Genomic DNA, 19,000 nt, shown 5'->3' with positions numbered 1-19,000 from the left:
ATTTTTTAATTTTCCTTTTTTTTGAGACAGAGTCTCACTCTGTCGCCCAGGCTGGAGTGCAGTGGCACGATCTTGGCTCACTGCAACCTCCACCTCCCGGGTTCAAGGGATTCTAGTGCCTCAGCCTCCCAAAGTGCTGAAATTATAGGCATAAGCCACCACGCCTGGCCCAAAATGAATCTTACAGGCCTGAAATCAAGACGTCAGCAGGGTGATGTTCCTTTTTTGTTGTTGTTTCGCTTTTGTCCCCCGGGCTGGAGTGCAGTGGTGGGATCTTGGCTCACCGCAACCTCCGCCTCCCAGGTTCAAGCGATTATCCTGCCTCAGCCTCCTGAGTAGCTGGAATTACAGGCATGCGCCACCACGCCGAGCTAATTTTGCATTTTTAGTAGAGACGGGGTTTCTCCACGTTGGTCAGGCTGGTCTCGAACTCCTGACCTCAGGTGATCCACCCACCTCGGCCTCCCAAAGTGCTGGGATTACAGGCATGAGCCACTGCACCAGGCCAGGGTGATGTTCTTTATAGAGGCTCCAGGTGAGGATCTGTTTCCCTGTCTTTTCCAGCATAATCTAGAGGCTGCCCACATTTTTTTTTTTTTTTTTGAGACAAAGTCTCGCTCTTGTCCCCCAGGCTGGAGTGCAGTGGCGTAATCTCGGCTCACTGCAACCTCCACCTCCCAGGTTCAAGCGATTCTCCTGCCTCAGCCTGCCGAATATCTGGGATTACAGGTGCATACCACCACGCCCGGCTAATTTTTGTATTTTAAGTAGAGACAAGGTTTCACCACGTTGGTCAGGCTGGTCTCAAACTCCCAACCTCAGGTGATCCGCCCGCCTTGGCCTTCCAAAGTGTTGGGATTACAGGTGTGAGCCACCCCGCCCAGCTGAGGCTGCCCACATTTCTTGACTGGTGTCCCCATCCTCCATCTTTGAAACCTTTGCTTCCATCCTCATACCTCCTGACTTGCTGGCCTTCTGCTTTCCCCTTTCTAGGGTCTTCGAAATTATATCACCTCTTCCTAGATAATCCAGGATACTCTCTTTATCTCAAGATTCTTAACAAAATCCTCTCAGCAAAGTTCCTTTTGCCATGTAAGGTAATATTCACAGGTTCTGGGGATTGGACTGTAGACATCTTTGGGGGCCATTATTCCATGCACCACAGGTTCCTTACCTGTCAAATGGGGATATTGATAACCTTCTTCATGGACTTGGTGGGGGGGAAGTTGATGTACCGTGATTCATGTGAAGCATTTAGCATTTAGCAGAGTGCTGGCATAAGAAAATGACTTGACAAATCCTAGCACTTTGGGAGGCCGAGGCAGGAGGAGCTCTTGAGCGCAGGAGTTTGAGACCAGCCTGGGCAATATAATGAGACCCGATCTCTCCAAAAAAAAAAAAAAAAAAAAAAAAGCCAGGCATGGTTGGGCATGCCTGTGGTTGCAGCTGCTTGCAGGGCTGAGGTGGGAAGTGCAACTTTCAAGGCTGCAGTGAGCCGTGATCACACCATCGCACTCCAGTTTGGGTGACAGAGCAAGACCCTGTCTTGAAAGAAGGAAGGAAGGAAGGAGGGAAGGAGGGAAGGAGGGAAGGAGTGAAGGGAGGGAGGGAGGAAGGGAGGGAAGGAAGGAGGGAGGGAGGAAGGGAGGGAAGGAAGGAGGGAGGGAGGAAGGAGAACTTTGGGAGGGAGGGACGGAGGGAGGGAGAGAAAATGATTTGACATCTTGCATTTTATGGGATACTTCAGCATTAATGGGAGCAGTTGTTGGAGAGAGCTCAGAGCCCTGATCCGCCCTGTATGCCATGTCATCTCGTCCCCTTCTGGGCACCCTGTGTCTAGCTGTAGTGATGAGAGTGTGAAGTTTGCATTTAGTCCTTTCCAGGTTGTGTTCTGCAACCCTCCCTCCCCATCTCCTAGCTTTTTGTAGAGATCCTCTTATCAGAACCCCCTGGGAGCTTGTTAGGGAACCTGTTGGAAATACACATTCTCAGCCCCTCTGCAGACTGAAGCAGGAACTGAGGGTGGGGCCCAGTGAGCTGGGTTTAAAGGAGTCACCCAGGGGATTCTAAAGCTCCCTGGAGCAACCTCTGAAGCACGCCCACCCCACCTGCAACGTAGATACAGTGGCATTATCCCCATTTCCCAGATGAGGTTGCTAAGGCTCAGGGAGGTAAGCGGCTTGCCTAAGGCCACGTAGGTAGTGGGTGGCGAGCCTGGGCCTGGTGCACTTTCCACATCACCATAAGCTTCCACCGTGGGCACCTCCCTTCTCGGTGCCACCTTGACACGGGGCCCAGGGCCAGATGCAACCGAAGAAGTTCCACCCAGCCACTCCCAGGGCACAGCCAAAGCCCTCGGACCGCTCCCTCCTCACCTGTCCTGTGTCATTCTGGGCAGGGCCCAGCATTCAGCTGGCAGACTCAGGTTCTGATAACTAATTTACACTGAAGTATCAATGGCTGATTACGCCTTCAGGGTTACCTCTCCACTTATTTATTTATTTATTTGGAAACAGAGTCTCACTCTGTCACCCAGGCTGGAGTGCAGTGGTGCGATCTCGGCTCAGTGCAACCTCTGCCTCCCAGGTTCAAGCGATTCTCCTGCCTCAGCCTCCCGAGTAGCTGGGATTACAGGCGTGCGCCACCACGCCCAGCTAATTTTGTATATTTAGTAGAGATGGGATTTCACCATGTTGACCAGGCTGGTCTTGAACATCCAACCTCAGGTGATCCACCCACCTCAGTCTCCCAAAGTGTTGGGATTACAGACGTGAGCCACCACGCCCAGCTAATTTTTTGTATTTTTAATAGAGATGGGGTTTCTTCATGTTGGTCAGGCTGGTCTCAAACTCCCGACCTCAGGTGATCTTCCCGCCTCAGCCACCATGCCCGGTTGCTTTTTTTTTTTTTTTTTTTTTGGAAACAGTCTCGCTCTGTCACCCAGGCTGGAGTGCAATGGCACAATCTCATCTCACTGCAACCTCTGCCTCCTGGGTTCAAGGGAGTCTCATGCCTCATCCTTCTGAGTAGCTGGGACTACAGGTGTGTGCCACCATGTCTGGCTAATTTTTATTTCTGTATTTATTGGAAAGAGATAGGGTTTTGCCATGTTGGCCAAGCTGGCCTCCAACTCCTGGCCTCAGGTGATCTGCCTGCCTTGGCCTCCCAAAGTGCTGGGATTACAGGCGTGAGCTACCGAACCAGCCTCGATTGCAAGAATTATATGGAAATTGTGGTCTTCTTCCCAGATCACCTTGACTGGCTGCTGAGAGCCAAGCCCAACCAGAACAGAGTCACCTAGGTTACAGAGTAGGGAGGTCCAGGGGAAAGCCTGTGTCCTTCCTGGAGCAGCACCCATCTGTGCCACCCGCATGGGACTGCCTGGGGTCCAGTGCCTGGCAAGGCCCTGCTTCTAGAAGCCCTCCCTGATGCCAGCCCTGAGCTCCCAGCCCTGTGGGAGGCAGTGGGCTCTGTGTAGAGAGCACTGAGCTAGGTTGGGCCCGGTGGCTCACGCCTGTAATCCCAGCACTTTGGGAGGCCGAGGCAGGCAGGTCACTTGAGGTCAGGAGTTCAAGACCAGCCTGGCCAACATGGTGAAACCCTGTCTCTACTGAAAATACAAAAATTAGCTGGGCGTGGTGGCGGGTGCCTATAATCCCAGCTACTCAGGAGGCTGAGGCAGGAGAATCGCTTGAACCCGGGAGGTGGAAGTTGCAGTGAGCCAAGATCACTCCACTACACTCCAGCCTGGGCAACAGAGCGAGACTCCATCTCAAAAACAAACAAAAAAAGATGTGCTGTTTTCCTCCCCGTGACTGTAATTTCTTCGAGGGCAAGCCCCTGTGTCTGTGTTTGCTTTTCCTGCCTTCTCTGCCCCGTGCTTTATGCTGAGCTGTACACATCACGGTGCTCAATAAAGACTTGCTGATAACTTCCCAAAAACCCTAGCTTTGCTCAGGAGAATGCTTTTCTTACAACTCTCAGACAAACACTGTCTCCACTGAGTGAACACCACAGGCCCAGCAAGAGAAACTTCAAGGAAGGCTGGCCCAATGGCAGTCAGTTATCAGAACTTATTCACATTTGTGTCACTAAAGTTGTACACCTCCACTGCTAACCTTAACTGGCTTAAAAAATTTTTTAGAAAAGAGAGAAACGTCAAGGAGATGACAGAGCAAGCTTTCTAGAACATGCCGCTCTGTTCAACCTTCTCCTCAGCCACCACCAGATTCACACTATCAGTCATCAAGCCCTATGAATCTGGCCTCAGTCACCTTTCCAACCTAATCTTTGTGTTTTTTTTTTTTGTTTGTTTTTTGTTTTTTGTTTTTTTTTGAGACGGAGTTTCACTGTGTCACCCAGGTTGGAGTACAGTGGCGTGATCTTGGCTCACTGCAAACTCCGCCTCCTGGGTTCAGGCGATTCTCCTGCCTCAGCGTACTCTCCTAGTAGCGGGGATCACAGGCATGCACAACCACACCTGGCTAATTTTGTATTTTTAGTAGATATGAGGGTTTCACCATTTTGGCCAGACTGGTCTTGAACTCCTGACCTCAAGTGATCCACCCACCTCAGACTCCCAAAGTGCTGGGATTACAGGCGTGAGCCACCGCACCCAGCCCCAACCTCATCTTTTTTACTCTAGGCTCTTGCTCACGCTGGTCCCTCTAGACTACCCTTTGGAGTGCTGTTCCCTCCACAGCTCAGGTGCCACCTCTTCCAAGAAGCCTTCTCACATGCCACCTCCTGCAAAGACATGCAGAAAGTTACTCCCATCTCCACATTTCTACCCCTTAGTCTAGTGATCCCTCCCTTTCAGATTTGTCTAATGGTTTTCATTATTCCTAGCACAGTGCCTGGCTTGTCCAATAAATGGAGGTCAAATTCACTTGAATTATAGTCTAGGGTGAGAGACAGTGTGCAGTGGGGAGAGATGAAAAGGACATGAGACTTTTCCCATAGACAGGGGCTACAGCTGGAAGGGACTCTCCCCCAGGAAGGCCGGCAGATGGAAAACAGCTGGTGGCTGAGGGTTGCTGTGACTCACCCACCCCTGCAGGCTGGGGGACACTGCAGACAGGGTGAGTCAGGAGTCAAAGGCCTACAGGAATTTTGGTAAGAATAAGACAAGCTCTGGAGTATTTCTAAAATGCAGGAGGTTAAGGATTCAGGGAGTGGGGTCAGGACAAAAGAGCCTAATTATGTTATTCATTTTTTTGCCTGCATGAAATAGTTACATGGTACAAAATTCAAAAGGTACAAAGCGGGCACAGTAAGACAAAGTCTTCTACCCTGTCTTGTTCCTGCCACCTAGGTCCTCTTCCAAGAAGCAGCCCATGTTTCCAGTTGCTTATACTTAACATACTTCCTATACTCTTCTTTTTTTTTGAGACAGAGTATCGCTTTGCAACCTCCAACTCCCTGGTTCAAGCGATGGTCTTGCCTCAGCCTCCCTAGTAGCTGAGATTACAGGCACACGCCACCATGCCCAGTATTTTTAGTAGAGACGGGATTTCACCATGTTGGCCAGGATGGTTTCAATCGCTTGACCTCGTGATCTGCCTGCCTTGGCCTCCCAAAGTGCTGGGATTACAGGCGTGAGCCACCACACCAGGCCATTTTTTTTTTTTAAGACGGAGTTTCGCTCTTGTTGCCCAGGCTGTAGTGTAATGGCACAATCTCCGCTCACTGCAACCTCCGCCTCCCGGGTTCAAGCGATTCTCCCACTTCAGTCTCCCGAGTAGCTGGGATTACAGACGCATGCCACCAGGCCTGGCTAATTTTTTTATTTGTGTTTTTAGTAGAGGCAGGGTTTCACCATGTTGGCCAGGTGGGTCTCAAACTCCTGACCTCAGGTGATCCACCTGCCTCGGCCTCCCAAAGTGCTACGATTACAGGTGTGAGACACGGCACCTGGCTAATAAATTTCTATCATCTATAAATTACCCATGTCTAAGGTATTTTGTTACCACAGCCCAAACAGACAGCATTTCATATCAGCACATACAGAACTTTCTCATTTTTTTCTTTCACTGTGTTTAGGGTTGCCCGATAAAATACAAGATGCCTACTTAAATTTGAATTATTTGCATTTCCAATACAGAAAAAGAACTTTTTAGTGTAAGTTTGTCCCATGCAATATTTGGGACATACTTATGCTAGAAAGTTATTTATTTATCTGAAATTCAAGCCAGCTGTTCCGTATTTGTATTTGTTAAATCTGACCACCCTTGTTACCTTATATGGGAGCTCCTTATTTTAAATCACTGGGGGCTTCAGGAACCAGGTGCCTGGACTTGGTGGGTGTCCATTCTCTGACTGTATTCTGAATTAGGCTCTAGAGGCTCCAGGGTTTGTGTCCAGTGCTGAATTTCCACCTCCAGGCCCCATTTACTGAAATAAGAAATTAGCTGGGTGTGGTGGCTCATGCTTGTAATCTTTGTACTTTGGGAGGTGGGAGGATCCCTTGAGACCAGGAGTTCGAGACCAGGCCGGGCAATATAGTGAGATTCCCATCTCTACAAAAAAATTTTTTTAAATTATCCAGGTGTGGTGGTTCACACTAGTAATCTCAGCAATTTGGGAGGGTGAAGTGGGAGGATCGCTTGAACCCAGGAATTGGAGGATGCAATGAGGTATGATCATGCCACTGCACTCTAGCCTGGGTGACAGAGTGAGACCCTGACTTTTTTTTTTTTTTCTTAAGACGGAGCCTCGCCCTATCGCCCAGGCTGGAGTGCAGTGGCTCAGTCTCAGCTCACTGCAACCTCTGCCTCCCAGGTTCAAGCAATTCTCCTGCCTCAGCCTCCTGGTAGCTGGGATTACAGGCATGTACCACCACACCTGGCTAATTTTTGCGTTTTTAGTAGAGATGGAGTTTCACCATGTTGACCAGGCTGGTCTCGAACTCCTGACCTCAAGTGATCCACCCACTTCAGCCTCCCAAAGTGCTGGGATTACACCGCTCCCGGCTTGAGACCCTGACTCTTAAAAAAAAAAGAAAAGAAACAAAAAGAAAAAGAAGCCAGGCACTGTGGCTCACACCTGTAATCCCAGCACTTTGGATGGCCGAGGCAGGAAGATGCTTGTGTCCAGGAGTTCGAGATCAGCCTAGGTAACAAAGTGAGACCTCATCTCTACAAAAAATAAATCAAAACTAGCTGGGCATGGTGGCATGAGCCTGAGGTCCCAGCTACTTGGGAGGCTGAGGTGGGAGGATGGCTCAAGCCTGGAAGGTCAAGGCTACAGTGAGCTGTGATTGTACCACTGCAGTCTAGCCTGGGTGACAGAGTGAGACCTTGTCTCAAAAAAAAAAAAAAAGAAAGAAAGAAAGAAATGAAAAGCCCATAGAGTGGCCAGGCGCAGTGGCTCACACCTGTAGTCCCAGCACTTTGGGAGGCCGAGGTGGGTGGATCACCTGAGGTCAGGAGTTCGAGACAGCCTGGCCAACATAGTGGAACCCCATCTCTACTAAAAATACAAACATTAGCTGGGCGTGGAGGCACGTGCCTGTAATCCCAGCTACTCAGGAGGATGGGCCAGGAGAATCGCTTGAACTCGGGAGGTGGAGGTTGCAGTGAGCCAAGATCAAGCCACTGTACTCCAGCCTGGGTGACAGAGCAAGACTCCGTCTTGGGAAAAAAATAAATAAATAAAAAGATCAGGCAGGGCACAGTGGCTCACGCCTGTAATCCCAGCACTTTGGGAAGCTGAGGCGGGTGGATCACTTGAGGTCAGGAGTACGAGAACAGCCTGGCCAACATGCTGAAACCTCGTCTCTACTAAAAAAATAAATAAATAAATACAAAAATTAGCTGGGCGTGGTGGCGCATGCCTGTAGTACCAGCTACTCATGAAGCTGAGGCAGGAGAATCACTTGAACTCGGGAGATGGAGGTTGCAGTGAGCCGAGATTGCGCCACTGTACTCCAGCCTGGGCAACAGAGCGAGACTCTGTCTCAAAAAAAAAAAAAAAAAAAAAAGATCAGACCTATTCTCCTGAGCTGGACACTGAGAGGCAGACGGGTAAATCATTTTATTGTTTGCTGAGGTCCCCCAACCAGGAAGTGGTAGTGCTGGAATTTTAACCCAGATATATTTGACGCCAAGGCTCAAACTCTTTCCACTGGGATTATTAACCCTTATCAGTACATCTGTGCCATGTTTTCAGGTAAGAAAACTGAGTAGTGTGATAAGCCGTCTGCCTGTGACACTTTATTTTTTGTTTGTTTGAGACGGAGTTTCGCTCTTGTTGCCCAGGCTGGAGTGCAATGACATGATCTTGGTTCACCGCAACCTCTGCCTCCCAGGTTCAAGCAATTCTCCTGCCTCAGCCTCCCAAGTAGCTGGGATTACAGGCATGTGCCACCACGCCCTGCTAATTTTGTATCTGTAGAGATGGGGTTTCTCCTTGTTGGTCAGGCTGGTCTCAAACTCCCAACCTCAGGTGATCTGCCCACCTCGGCCTCCCAGAGTGCTGGGATTACAGGCGTGAGCCACCATGCCCGGCCTCCACTTTAGTTTTACAAGGGCCCAAAGCAGGAACAAACCTCCAGTCCTGTGGCCTACAGGATGACAGCCTAAGCCCTCCTATCCCCCACTTGACCTTCAATGCCCATAGGGAACCTGCCCCAGCCCATTTCTCATCTGCTGTTCTGGTCATCTTCCCAAAAGACCAACCCTTTCCTTGCCTCCATATTTCTACACTTTGACACTTTGGGTCAAGTGGAAAAAGTCTGGTGGAAGAACTAGTTCTAAATATCAGCTTAGTCACTTACTTGCTGTGTGACTATGGGCAAGCCACTTGACCTCTCTGAGTCTCACTTTGCTCAGCTGGAAAATGAGAAAAGATATGCCTAAGTCTTAGCACTTGTCTGATGATTAATATGCATAAGCTGAAGGAATGAAGGGGGGGTATTTATTGTGCCCCTGCCGCGTGCCAGACCCGGTGAGAGACACTGGCGACGCTGTGGTGAACCCGGCAGTCACAGTGGCTGCTTTTCTGGGGACTGTTCTTGAAGTGGAGGGTGTGATCTATTGCAGCAGGAGGTTGAGTAACTGAGCCTTTGTAACTGTGAGCAGGATTCCTCCTGAGCTGAAGATGAGTGCCTTAAGCCAGGTGTGAGGGTGGGGAAATACCCTAATTTGACAGACGAGGAAAGGAAACTTCCCGCACTCCGCTTTAAGTGGTGGGGCCAGGATTCAAACCCAGGGGCTGCTTTGATGGGCCACCCTGGTTTCCTCTTGCATCCGCACTGCTGAGCAGAGAGCCCGGCACCTAGCGGGATATCAAAGACACAGAGGCCGCCAGCAGTGAAAGCTGTGTTGAAAAGAAGCTAGAGGAAGCTGGTGAAAACCAGAGGTTAGGAGGTGGGGACAGGGAAGGCCGTGAAGGGAGGGGCCTTTTATTGACCAGCCAGCCCTCGGCCAGGTCCCTGCCTCAGACGTGCATGTTGGCAGGAAGAACCTGGCTGGGCATCTCTGTGACTGTGGTTGAATGAAGGAGCACCTGAGCCTTCCTTTTTTTCTTTTTTCTTTTTTTTTCTGAGATGGAATTGTGCTCTTGTTGCCCAGGCTGGAGTGCAATGGCGCGATCCCGGCTCACTGCAACCTCCCCCTCCCACGTTCAAGCAGTTCTCCTGCCTCAGCCTCCTGAGTAGCTGGGATTACAGGCATGTGCCACCACGCCCGGCTAATTTTGTATTTTTAGTAGAAACAGGGTTTCTCCATGTTGGTCAGCCTGGTGTTGAACTCCCAACCTTAGGTGATCCGCCTGCCTCGGCCTCCTAAAGTGCTGGGATTACAGGCGTGAGCCACTACGCCTGGCGCACCTGAGTCTTTCTAGTCCAGGCTGAGCTCTGGGCCGTTCAGCGCTTCTCAAACCCACAGCAGTGCCTCATTGCAAGAGGAGCTGGTGGGATACAGGAGAAAGTGGGGAGGGAAAAGGCGGGTCAAGGAACTGAACTAGAGGCTCACTCGACAGTTCTCCAGGTCTTTGTTGTTTACTGAAGGAACCTTATGAACGTGGCCTTCGCACTCCCTGCTCTGTCTGTGTTTGTTTTAATATAACCGATTCCCTCCCCTCTTGCCAACAAAGGGTTGGAGTAAAACTGACTGCATAGAGCCTGCCTAACTGTGCACTGTCCCTCGCTGTGGACTCTGCACCCCTAGCGCAGGAGGGTCCCAGGGCTCCAGGGGCGAGGCCCCACAGGCACCCCCTTCCCTCCACACAGCCGGTCTTTCCCTCCTCCATTCTCAGACCTCACCCTCCCCACATGTCATAAAGGTCCTGTGCCCTGACCTCACTGAGTCACCTGTTTCTCTGTATCTCTATGTTTCTGTGGCTGCTTCTACCCCTAGACAGTGGCCTCCAACACTTAATTATGGTGGGCAGGGCCACGGTCTGCCTCCCTCGGTGTCCTCAGCACAGCAGGCCTAGCCTGGGTAGGTGGACCCTGGGAAAAGAAATGAGTGAATGAGGCCGGGCGCGGTGGCTCACGCCCGTAATCCCAGCACTTTGGGAGGTCGAGGAGGGCAGATCGCTTGAGGCCAGGAGTTTGAAACCAGCCTGGCCAACATGGTGAAATCCCGTCTCTGCTAAAAATACAAAAACTAGCCAGGCGTGGTGGCTCACGTTTGTAACGCCAGCTGCTCGGGAGGCTGAGGCAGGAGAATCGCTTGAACCCGGTAGGCGGAGGTTGCAGTGAGCCGAGATCGCGCCACTGCACTCCAGCCTGGGCAATAGAGCGAGACTCCATTTCAAAAGAAAGAAAGGAAAGAAAAGAATGAAAGAAAGAAAGAAAGAGAAAAAGAAAGAAAGAAGAAAGAAAGAAAGAAAGAAAGAAAGAAAAAAGAAAGAACGAAAGAAAGAAAAGAGAAAAAGAAAGAAAGAAGAAAGAAAGAAAGAAAGAAAGAAAGAAAGGAAGGAAGGAAGGAAGGAAGGAAGGAAGGAAGGAAGGAAGGAAGAAAGAAATGAGTGAATGAACAAATGGAAGGGCAGTAGGCCCTCTGGGGCTGCGGTGAGCCAGATAATGACCCAAAGATGTCCATGTCCTGATCCCGCAAACCTGCAAATGTGTTAACCTACATGGCAAAAGGGACTTTGCAGATGTGACGGAGTTAGGAATCTGGAGATGGGAAGAAATTCCACCTACGGCCAGCGGCTTCAGTCCCTGCCTGAGCCCCAGCCCGCCCCTCCCGCTGGCCTGCCTGCACCTGTCAGCCTTTCCCAGCCAGCCCCACAATCACATGTGCCAATTCCTTGCAATCTATCTGTCCATCTTTATCTCTGCCTCTATATTTCCTCCAGGTTCTGTTTCTCTGGTTAAGCCCTGACTGATACAGGAGCCCAGGAGATTGGCCTCCTGGGTCTGTATTTGGGAGACCACTCAGAATGTGGCGGAGGTGGGTAGGGGAGAGCCGGCCCAGGAATAGTCCGGGGAGTCTGGTGCCCTTCAGTTGGAGCCTGTGTTGCACCCACATCTCCAGGGCCAGGAGGCTGGTCCTGTTGACCTTGGCTGTGGGCCCAGTGGAGGTGGAGTGCAGGCCCCCACAGGCAGCTGAGCAAACAGGGGAGTGGGGGCTGGGGGAGCAGAGCTGGGGAAGGGACGGGGAGAGGAAGGAGCCGTGGGATGCAGGTGAGGACAAAGAGTGGGCCTGGAGGTGCTGGGAAAGCCGGGCCAACCCTGCCAAGTCCTGCTCCTGTGTCTAGCCTGTGGCCACGCTGAGCCAGGCCCTGGGGACACCACGGAAGACACGACATAGCTCCTGCCCGCATGAAGCACACTGTCCCCGTCCCTGAGCTGCCTGGACCCCCAGTGAGTGCAGCTTCTGGCGCATAGTAAATAGCTATGGAATGAATGATCTGAGACCAGACTCCAGCCAACAGAGGTCCTAGAAAGAGGCATTTGACAAATAAGGCCTGGGAAGAGAGAAAAGGATGACCTGGTGGAGACCTGGAGTAGGGAGTGGGATGAGAAGGGGCCTGGGCTGGGAGGACCAGCTGCCCATGCATGTCCAGGGCAGCCCCACAGCCCTGCGGAGAAGAGTTCTTTTCCGGTCTCACCTCCATCCATCCACCCCCATGCGTGGCTAATTTTCCTTTTTAGGGACAGCTGCCCTTCCCGCTCCCCACAGAGTAATCGGAGCCAGAATCTCTGCCTGGTTTCTGAGAACCCCATCTGCCCAGACCTCGCCTGGACTGTGGTTTTAGCAAATAATTTGGATCCTTCTAGAGCTTGGGGGAGGAAGCTTCCGCCCCTTCCTCCTTAGTGGTGTTAAGAAATGCTCAGCATTCCTGGGTTAAGAGGGCCAGGGGCCATTCTTCTCAGCACAGGGACAGACCCAGAGGAACAAAATGAAGAAGGAACCCAGCACCCGTCCCAGGCTCTCAGCTCCTTCCCGGGGGTCACCTGGGGACTGGCAGGTGAGGCCAATTCATTCAGCTCCCAGGGAAGGAGGCCTTGGGGAGCCCGAGAATGTTCAAGAGCAAGTTCCTGGGGCTTCCCGCACAGGGTTCTGAGCTCCTGTCTCAGAGCTCCCAGAGGAGGCCCTGTCTGGTTCCTGCTAGTCTCCGCATCATGTCTAGTCCAGCCTGGCACCGGGGAGCACTCCATGAGGGTTTATGGATCGGATGCAGGGCGGAGAAGTAGGATGTAGGGTATCAGAAATGGCCTCCAGGAGGGCCCACATCTATGCTGTGGGAAGTAAACAGTGAGCCTGGGGGGTGTGCGCCGGGGCTCAGGCGCTGCTACAGGCCGGATGTGAGGACTCCCATTTATTCCTCACACAGCGCTGTGATTGTGCTACCACGATACCCCCATATCACAGATGAAGGGGCCAGAGCCCAGAAAGGGTAAGTAACTTGTCCAAGGACACACAGCAGATAAGTGCAGGGACCAGTATTTGGACTCCAGAGTTCCTGCTTTTTTGTTTTGTAGAGATGAGTCTCACTAGGTTGCCCAGGCTGGTTTCCAACTCCTGGCCTAAAGCAATCCTCCTGCGTCAGCCTCCTGAGTTGCTGGGACTAGATGCACGGCTACTGCACCCAGCCTGAAGTCCCTGCTTTTAAGTGCTAGGCACACTGCCTCTGGAGAGGGAGGAGGAGAAGTAAAGGCCTGGGTGAGGGGCAGTGAACATGAGATACTTGAGAAAAATAAGAAGGCCCGAGGGGCCAGGTATCGGTGATGACTCATGTCGGTAATACCAGCACTTTGGGAGGCTGAGGCAAGAGGATCACTTGAGCCCAGAAGTTTGGGGCCAGCCAGGGCAACATAGTGAGACCCCCATCTCTACCAAAAAATAGAAAAAATTAGCGGGGCATGGTGGCACATGCCTATGGTCCTGCTACTCAGGAGGCTGAGACAGGAGGATCACTTGAGTCCGGGAGGTTGAGGCTGCAGTGAGCCATGATCATGCCACTGCACTCCAGCCTAGGTGACAGAGTGAGACCCCGTCTCAAAAACAAACAAACAAAAAACCCCAAGGCTGCGGAGCTGATGCGGTGGGTAAGGGTGAGACTCAGGACTCCACTTTCTCTGTCCTGCCCATTGGCGTTCCAGGTAGGACGTCCTTGGGAGACATGGTTTGCTACGTATAGCTACATGGAAAGATCCCAGGACTAACCAACTTGTAAAGCCCTTAGGGCAGGAAGATTTTAGGGTAACTCTTGCATCTGGCTTGGGGTCAGCACGCACTCAGGCCTGCTCTGAGATGGAGGACCACTGGCTCAGTTTACCTTTGGAATGGGCAGGGTCGGGGAGCAGCAAGGACAGGGCCAGGAGTTGGGAAGTCCTGGGCCCATCCCAGACCCTAAGCCCCCTCTGTAACAGTGAGACCCTGGGCACGTCACCTAAGCACTCTGGGCCTCCAATGATAATCCCCTGTCCACCTGGTGTTTTAGTGGGTCAATATGACAGCCGCTGTTCATTCGGCACTGCTAGTGTGTTACCTCGGTGACTCATTCCGGTGACCTACTGGTCACCCCATTCAGCAGATGCTTCCTGGGAAGATGGTGAAGACAAACTGAGCCTTTATGTCCGAATGGCTCTTTACAACCTGCAAAAGGCACTTTCGGACCTAATTCAATTTGATCTTCACACAAATCCAGAAGCCAGGCAGGCATGCTTCATCGTTCCATTTAAAGTTGAAGAAACTGGCTGAGCACGGTGGCTCATGCCTGTAATCCTGTAATCCCAGCTCTTTGGGAGGCTGAGGAAGGAGAATTGCTTGAGGCGAGGAGCAACATGGCAAGACCCTGTCTCTACAAAAAATAAAAATAAAAATAGGTTAGGCACAGTGGCTCATGCCTGTAATCCCAGCACTTTGGGAGGCCGAGATGGGTGGATCACCTGAGGTCGGAAGTTCGAGACCAGCCTGACCAACATGGAGAAACCCCGTCTCTACTAAAAATACAAAACTAGCTGGGCGTGGTGGTGCATGCCTGTAATCCCAGCTACTCGGGAGGCTGAGGCAGGAGAATCACTTGAACCCGGGAGGTGAGCCAAGATCATGCCATTGCACTCCAGCCTGGGCAACAAGAGCGAAATTCTGTCTCAAAAAATAAAATAAATAAACTAAAATAAATAAATAAAAATCATAATTTTTTTAAAGATGAAGAAACCAAGGCAAGCAAAGAAGTGGCTTGCTCAAGATTCATTGATCATTAGGGAACAAAAAAGACCTTCAATCTGGGATTTTTTGACTCCCTGTTCAGTACTTTTTTTACCCGAACCCCCCCCCCCAAAAAAAAGGATACTTTTATAAGCATCCAACACCATTCATCTTGCTGTCTTATCCCAGAATCCTGATCAGAATTCAGATAGTTTGCCGGCCGGGTGCAGTGGTTCACACCTGTAATCCCAGCACTTTGGGAGGCCGAGGCGGGTGGATCGCCTGAGGTCAGGAGTTTCAGACCAGCCTGGCCAACACGGCAAAACCCGTCTCTACTAAAAATGCCAAAATTAGCTGGGTGTGGTGGTGCATGCCTGTGATCCCAGCTACTTGGGAGGCTGAAGCAGGAGAATTGCTTGAACTGGGAGACAGAGGTTGCAGTGAACCGAGATTGCACCACTGCACTCCAGCCTGGGCAATAGACCAAGACTCCATCTAAAAAAAAAAAAAAAAAAAGAATTAACTAATAGTTTGCCATGAATGGAGGATTTTAAAACATGGGAAAATTTTTTTAAAAAATAATTAAAATAGTAGTAATGACAATAGCTACCCTCACTGAGCTGTTTTTTTTTGTTGTTGTTTAGTAAAGACAAGGTTTCACCATGCTGGCCAGGCTGGTCTCGAACTCCTGACCTCAGATGATCTCAGCCTCCCAAAGTGCTGGGATTACAGGCATGAGCCACTGCGCTCAACCTAAGAGCCCACATTTTCAGTCTCTGTGTATCCCTCTACGGCAGTCAGCATTTTGCTTTACGAACAGTATGAGGGCTCCACAAATTTATTTATTTATTTATTTATTTTATTTTATTTTATTTTATTTTTTGAGACGGAGTTTCGCTCTTGTTGCCCAGGCTGGAGTGCAATGGCACCATCTCAGCTCACCACAACCTCTGCCTCCCGGGTTCAAGTGATTCTCCTGCCTCAGTCTCCCAAGTAGCTGGGATTACAGGCATGTGCCACCAAGCCCGGCTAATTTTGTATGTTTAGTAGATACGGGCTTTCTCCATGTTGGTCAGGCTGGTCTCGAACTCCCAACCTCAGGTGATCCGCCTGTCTCGGCTCCAAAGTGCTGGGATTACAGGCATGAACCACCGCACCTGGCCTACAAATTTATTAAGTGAATTAAATAATGTGCCGCTTTTTTTTTTTTTTTTTTTTTGAGAGGCAGTTTTGCTCTTGTTGCCCAGGCTGGAGTGCAATGGCGCGATCTCGGCTCACAGCAACCTCCGCCTCCCGGGTTCAAGCCATTCTCCTGCCTCAGCCTCCCGAGTAGCTGGGATTACAGGCATGCACCACCACGCTTGGCTAATTTTGTATTTTTAGTAGAGATGGGGTTTCTCCATGTTGGTCAGGCCGGTCTCGAACTCCAGACCTCAGGTGATCCGCCCATCTCGGCCTCCCAAAGTGCTGGGATTACAGGCGTGAGCCACCGCCCCCGGCAATGTGTTGCTTTTCTATAGTCCTGAAGTCTCAAAGAAAACTTGCAGGTGGGAAGAGCATGGGATGTGAGGTCAGACCCGGATCTGAATTTCAGCTCCAATGCTTAATGATGGTGTGATCTTAACCTTAATCTCTTCATCTGTAATATGGGTTAACAGCCCTAAACACCGCATCTACCAGCCCCACACACACCTCTGCTTGTTGGGAAGATTAAACTGAGTCAGGCCCATAAAACCTTCTTCCTTTGAAAGGTGTGGTAGGCAGAAAATTGTCCAGGTTCTGGTCCCTGGAAGCTGTGGTTAGGTTGCATAGCAGAGGGAAATTAGGGCTGTAGGTGAAATTAAGGTTGCTGACCTTAAATAGGAAAATTTTCCTAGATTACGTGGGTGGGCCCAATGTAATCACAGGGTCCTTAAATGTGGAAGAGGGAGGAAAAGAGACGGAGACGGAGCATGGCATCTGGCTTTGAAGCCAGGAGGAAGGAGATAGGAGCCAAGGAAGGTGGATGGCCCCAGAAGCTGGAAATGACCAGGAAGTGGATTCTCTCCAGAGCCTCCAGAAGGATCAAGGCCCTGCTGACTTTACTCGGGCTTGGTGAGGTTCCCAATGGACTTCTCACCTCCAGAACCATAAGAGGACGCATTTGTGTTGTTTGATGCCACCAAGTTTATGGTGTTTTTTTTTTTTTTTTTTTTTTTTTGGAGACGGAGTTTCACTCTTGTTTATCACCCAGGCTGGAATGCAGTGGAGTGATATCGGCTCGCTGCAACCTCCGCCTCCCAGGCTTAAGCAATTCTCTTGCTTCAGCCTCCCAAGTAGCTGAGATTACAGGTGCATGCCACCACGCCCAGCTAATTTTTGTATTTTTAGTGAAGACGGGGTTTCACCATGTTGGCCACGCTGGTCTCGAACTCCCGACCTCAGGAGATCCACCCATTATAGCAGTTTTTATAGCCACTGCAGGTCAGTCAGTGTGGGTTCCCTCTGCTACCTCTGGCTCCTTTAACGCCTCCCTCCCTTGACTCTGTACCCCTTTATAATAAGCAGGTCGCTTACGCCTATTTTATACATGAAGAAATGTTACCAGAAAGGGGTCCTGATCCAGACCCCAAGAGAGGATTCTTGGATCTCAGGCAAGAAATAATTCAGGGTGAGTCCAGGGAGTGAAGTGAAAGCAAGTTTATCAGGAAAGTAAAGAAATATAAGAATGGCTACTCCATAGACAGAGCAGCCCCAAGGGTCACTGGTTGCCCATTTTTACAGATATTTCTTGATTATACGCTAAACAAGGAGTAGATTATTCATATTCCCCTTTTTAGATCATATAGGGTGACTTCCTGACATTGCCATGGCATTTGTAAATTGTCATAGTGCTGATGGGAGTGTAGTAGTGAGGACAGCCAGAGGTCACTCTCATTGCTATCTTGGTTTTGGTGGGTTTGGGCCAGCTTCTTTTTTTGTTTGTTTGTTTGTTTGAGATGGAGTTTCACTCTTGTTGCCCAGGCTGGAGTGTAATGGTGCCATCTCGGCTCACTGCAAGCTCTGCCTCCTAGGTTCAAGTGATTCTCCTGCCTCAGCCTCCTGAGTAGCTGGGATTACAGGCATGTGCCACCATGCCCGGCTAATTTTGTATTTTTAGTAGAGACGGGGTTTCTCCATGTGGTGAGGCTGGTCTTGAACTCCTGACCTCAGGTGATTTGCCCGCCTTGACTTCCCAAAGTGCTGGGATTACAGGCGTGAGCCACCACATCTGGCCTTGGGCCAGCTTCTTTACTGCAACCTGTTTTATCAGCAAAGTGTTTATGACCTGTATCTTGTGCTGACCTCCTATCTCATCCTGTGAGATATGTTTTAACCGTCTGGGAATGCAGCCCAGTAGGTCTCAGCCTCATTTTACCCAGCCCCTATTCAAGATGGAGTGGCTGTGGTTCCAATGCCTCTGACACAAACAGGCGGGGAGAGGTTACTCCAGATGGCCAAGGTGGCACACAGCATGGTGGAAATGCACTCGGAAGCCGGACCTCTGACTCCGACTCCTGGACACTTTCTGACAACACACCGCCCCTCCTAAGGGTCTTCAGTCCCTGTAAAAATATCTTAGGAGCCCTGCAATGTGTGGGGGTGGTTCTTTTCATCCAGGCTGGCCCGGAAGCCCTGCCTCCACAGAGACCTCTCTTGCCCCCCATCCCCCGGCTCTTTCCCTTTTGTGTCTTTCTGTCTCTCAGAAAGGGACTGTGGCCTTTGACAATCCCTCTCCCCAGGACCTGGTGGAGAACCAGCACCCAGGAGGTGCCCCGTGAAAATGGGGTTCTCCTCCCCTGGAGCCCAGTCCCCTTCTCTCCCACTCCGGGTAAAGCCTGTCTTCAGAGCCCCTCAAATGGCGAGATTCAAAACTCTATCCCCAGCTCCAGGGAGTCTTCACAGGCTGCCTGGTGGACAGGAGTGGGAGGGAAGCTGCGTCCCCAGTGGCCAGCTGACAGGTCAAAGGGGAAACTGCACTTCCTGCTGGGCCTCCAGGGAGCCTCTTCTCTCTGAGAGGCCAGCTGGGTCCCTGTGTGGGAGCTCCAGGGGGAGACAGGGCAGGGAAAGAGATGGGAGGAGAGAGGAGGAGGGGGAGGGAGGAAGTGGGGCAGGGAGAGGAGGAAGAGGAAGGGAAAAGGGCAGAAGGAGTTGGAAGAGACTGGGAGAGACCAAAAAAATAAATAAATAAAAATACAGTGAGACACAGAAAGGAGAGAACCAGAGACAGAAGGTAACAGAAGATGAGCAGTCAGAGGCATAGAGAAAGAGACAAGAGAAAAGGAAACAAGAGGGGGAAATTAAGTTACTACACAGAGAAAGACAGCAAGAGTGTGGGAGGAAGAGAGAGACACAGGGAGAGTCAGAGATAG

At 50.8% G+C, this 19,000-nt stretch overlaps 4 annotated features.

Annotated features, from left to right (window-relative positions):
• Positions 1,760–2,477: an enhancer, noted in NCBI's record as "H3K27ac-H3K4me1 hESC enhancer chr22:36838581-36839298 (GRCh37/hg19 assembly coordinates)". NCBI's record gives its function as "activates a minimal SCP1, AML or CMV promoter by ChIP-STARR-seq in naive H9 embryonic stem cells {active_cell/tissue: H9 hESC(naive)}" and the evidence as "EXISTENCE:reporter gene assay evidence [ECO:0000049][PMID:30033119]".
• Positions 8,582–9,217: an enhancer, noted in NCBI's record as "NANOG-H3K27ac-H3K4me1 hESC enhancer chr22:36831841-36832476 (GRCh37/hg19 assembly coordinates)". NCBI's record gives its function as "activates a minimal SCP1, AML or CMV promoter by ChIP-STARR-seq in primed H9 embryonic stem cells {active_cell/tissue: H9 hESC(primed)}" and the evidence as "EXISTENCE:reporter gene assay evidence [ECO:0000049][PMID:30033119]".
• Positions 9,239–9,368: an enhancer, noted in NCBI's record as "active region_18934". NCBI's record gives its function as "activates an Ori minimal core promoter by ATAC-STARR-seq in GM12878 lymphoblastoid cells {active_cell/tissue: GM12878}" and the evidence as "EXISTENCE:reporter gene assay evidence [ECO:0000049][PMID:35858748]".
• Positions 12,396–13,031: an enhancer, noted in NCBI's record as "H3K27ac-H3K4me1 hESC enhancer chr22:36828027-36828662 (GRCh37/hg19 assembly coordinates)". NCBI's record gives its function as "activates a minimal SCP1, AML or CMV promoter by ChIP-STARR-seq in naive H9 embryonic stem cells {active_cell/tissue: H9 hESC(naive)}" and the evidence as "EXISTENCE:reporter gene assay evidence [ECO:0000049][PMID:30033119]".

This window comes from Homo sapiens, chromosome 22 (genome assembly GCF_000001405.40).
Source record: "Homo sapiens chromosome 22, GRCh38.p14 Primary Assembly".
Lineage (NCBI taxonomy): Eukaryota > Metazoa > Chordata > Mammalia > Primates > Hominidae > Homo > Homo sapiens.
The sequence above is the reverse complement of the archived record's forward strand: the minus strand, read 5'-3'. Positions and strand labels throughout refer to the sequence as shown.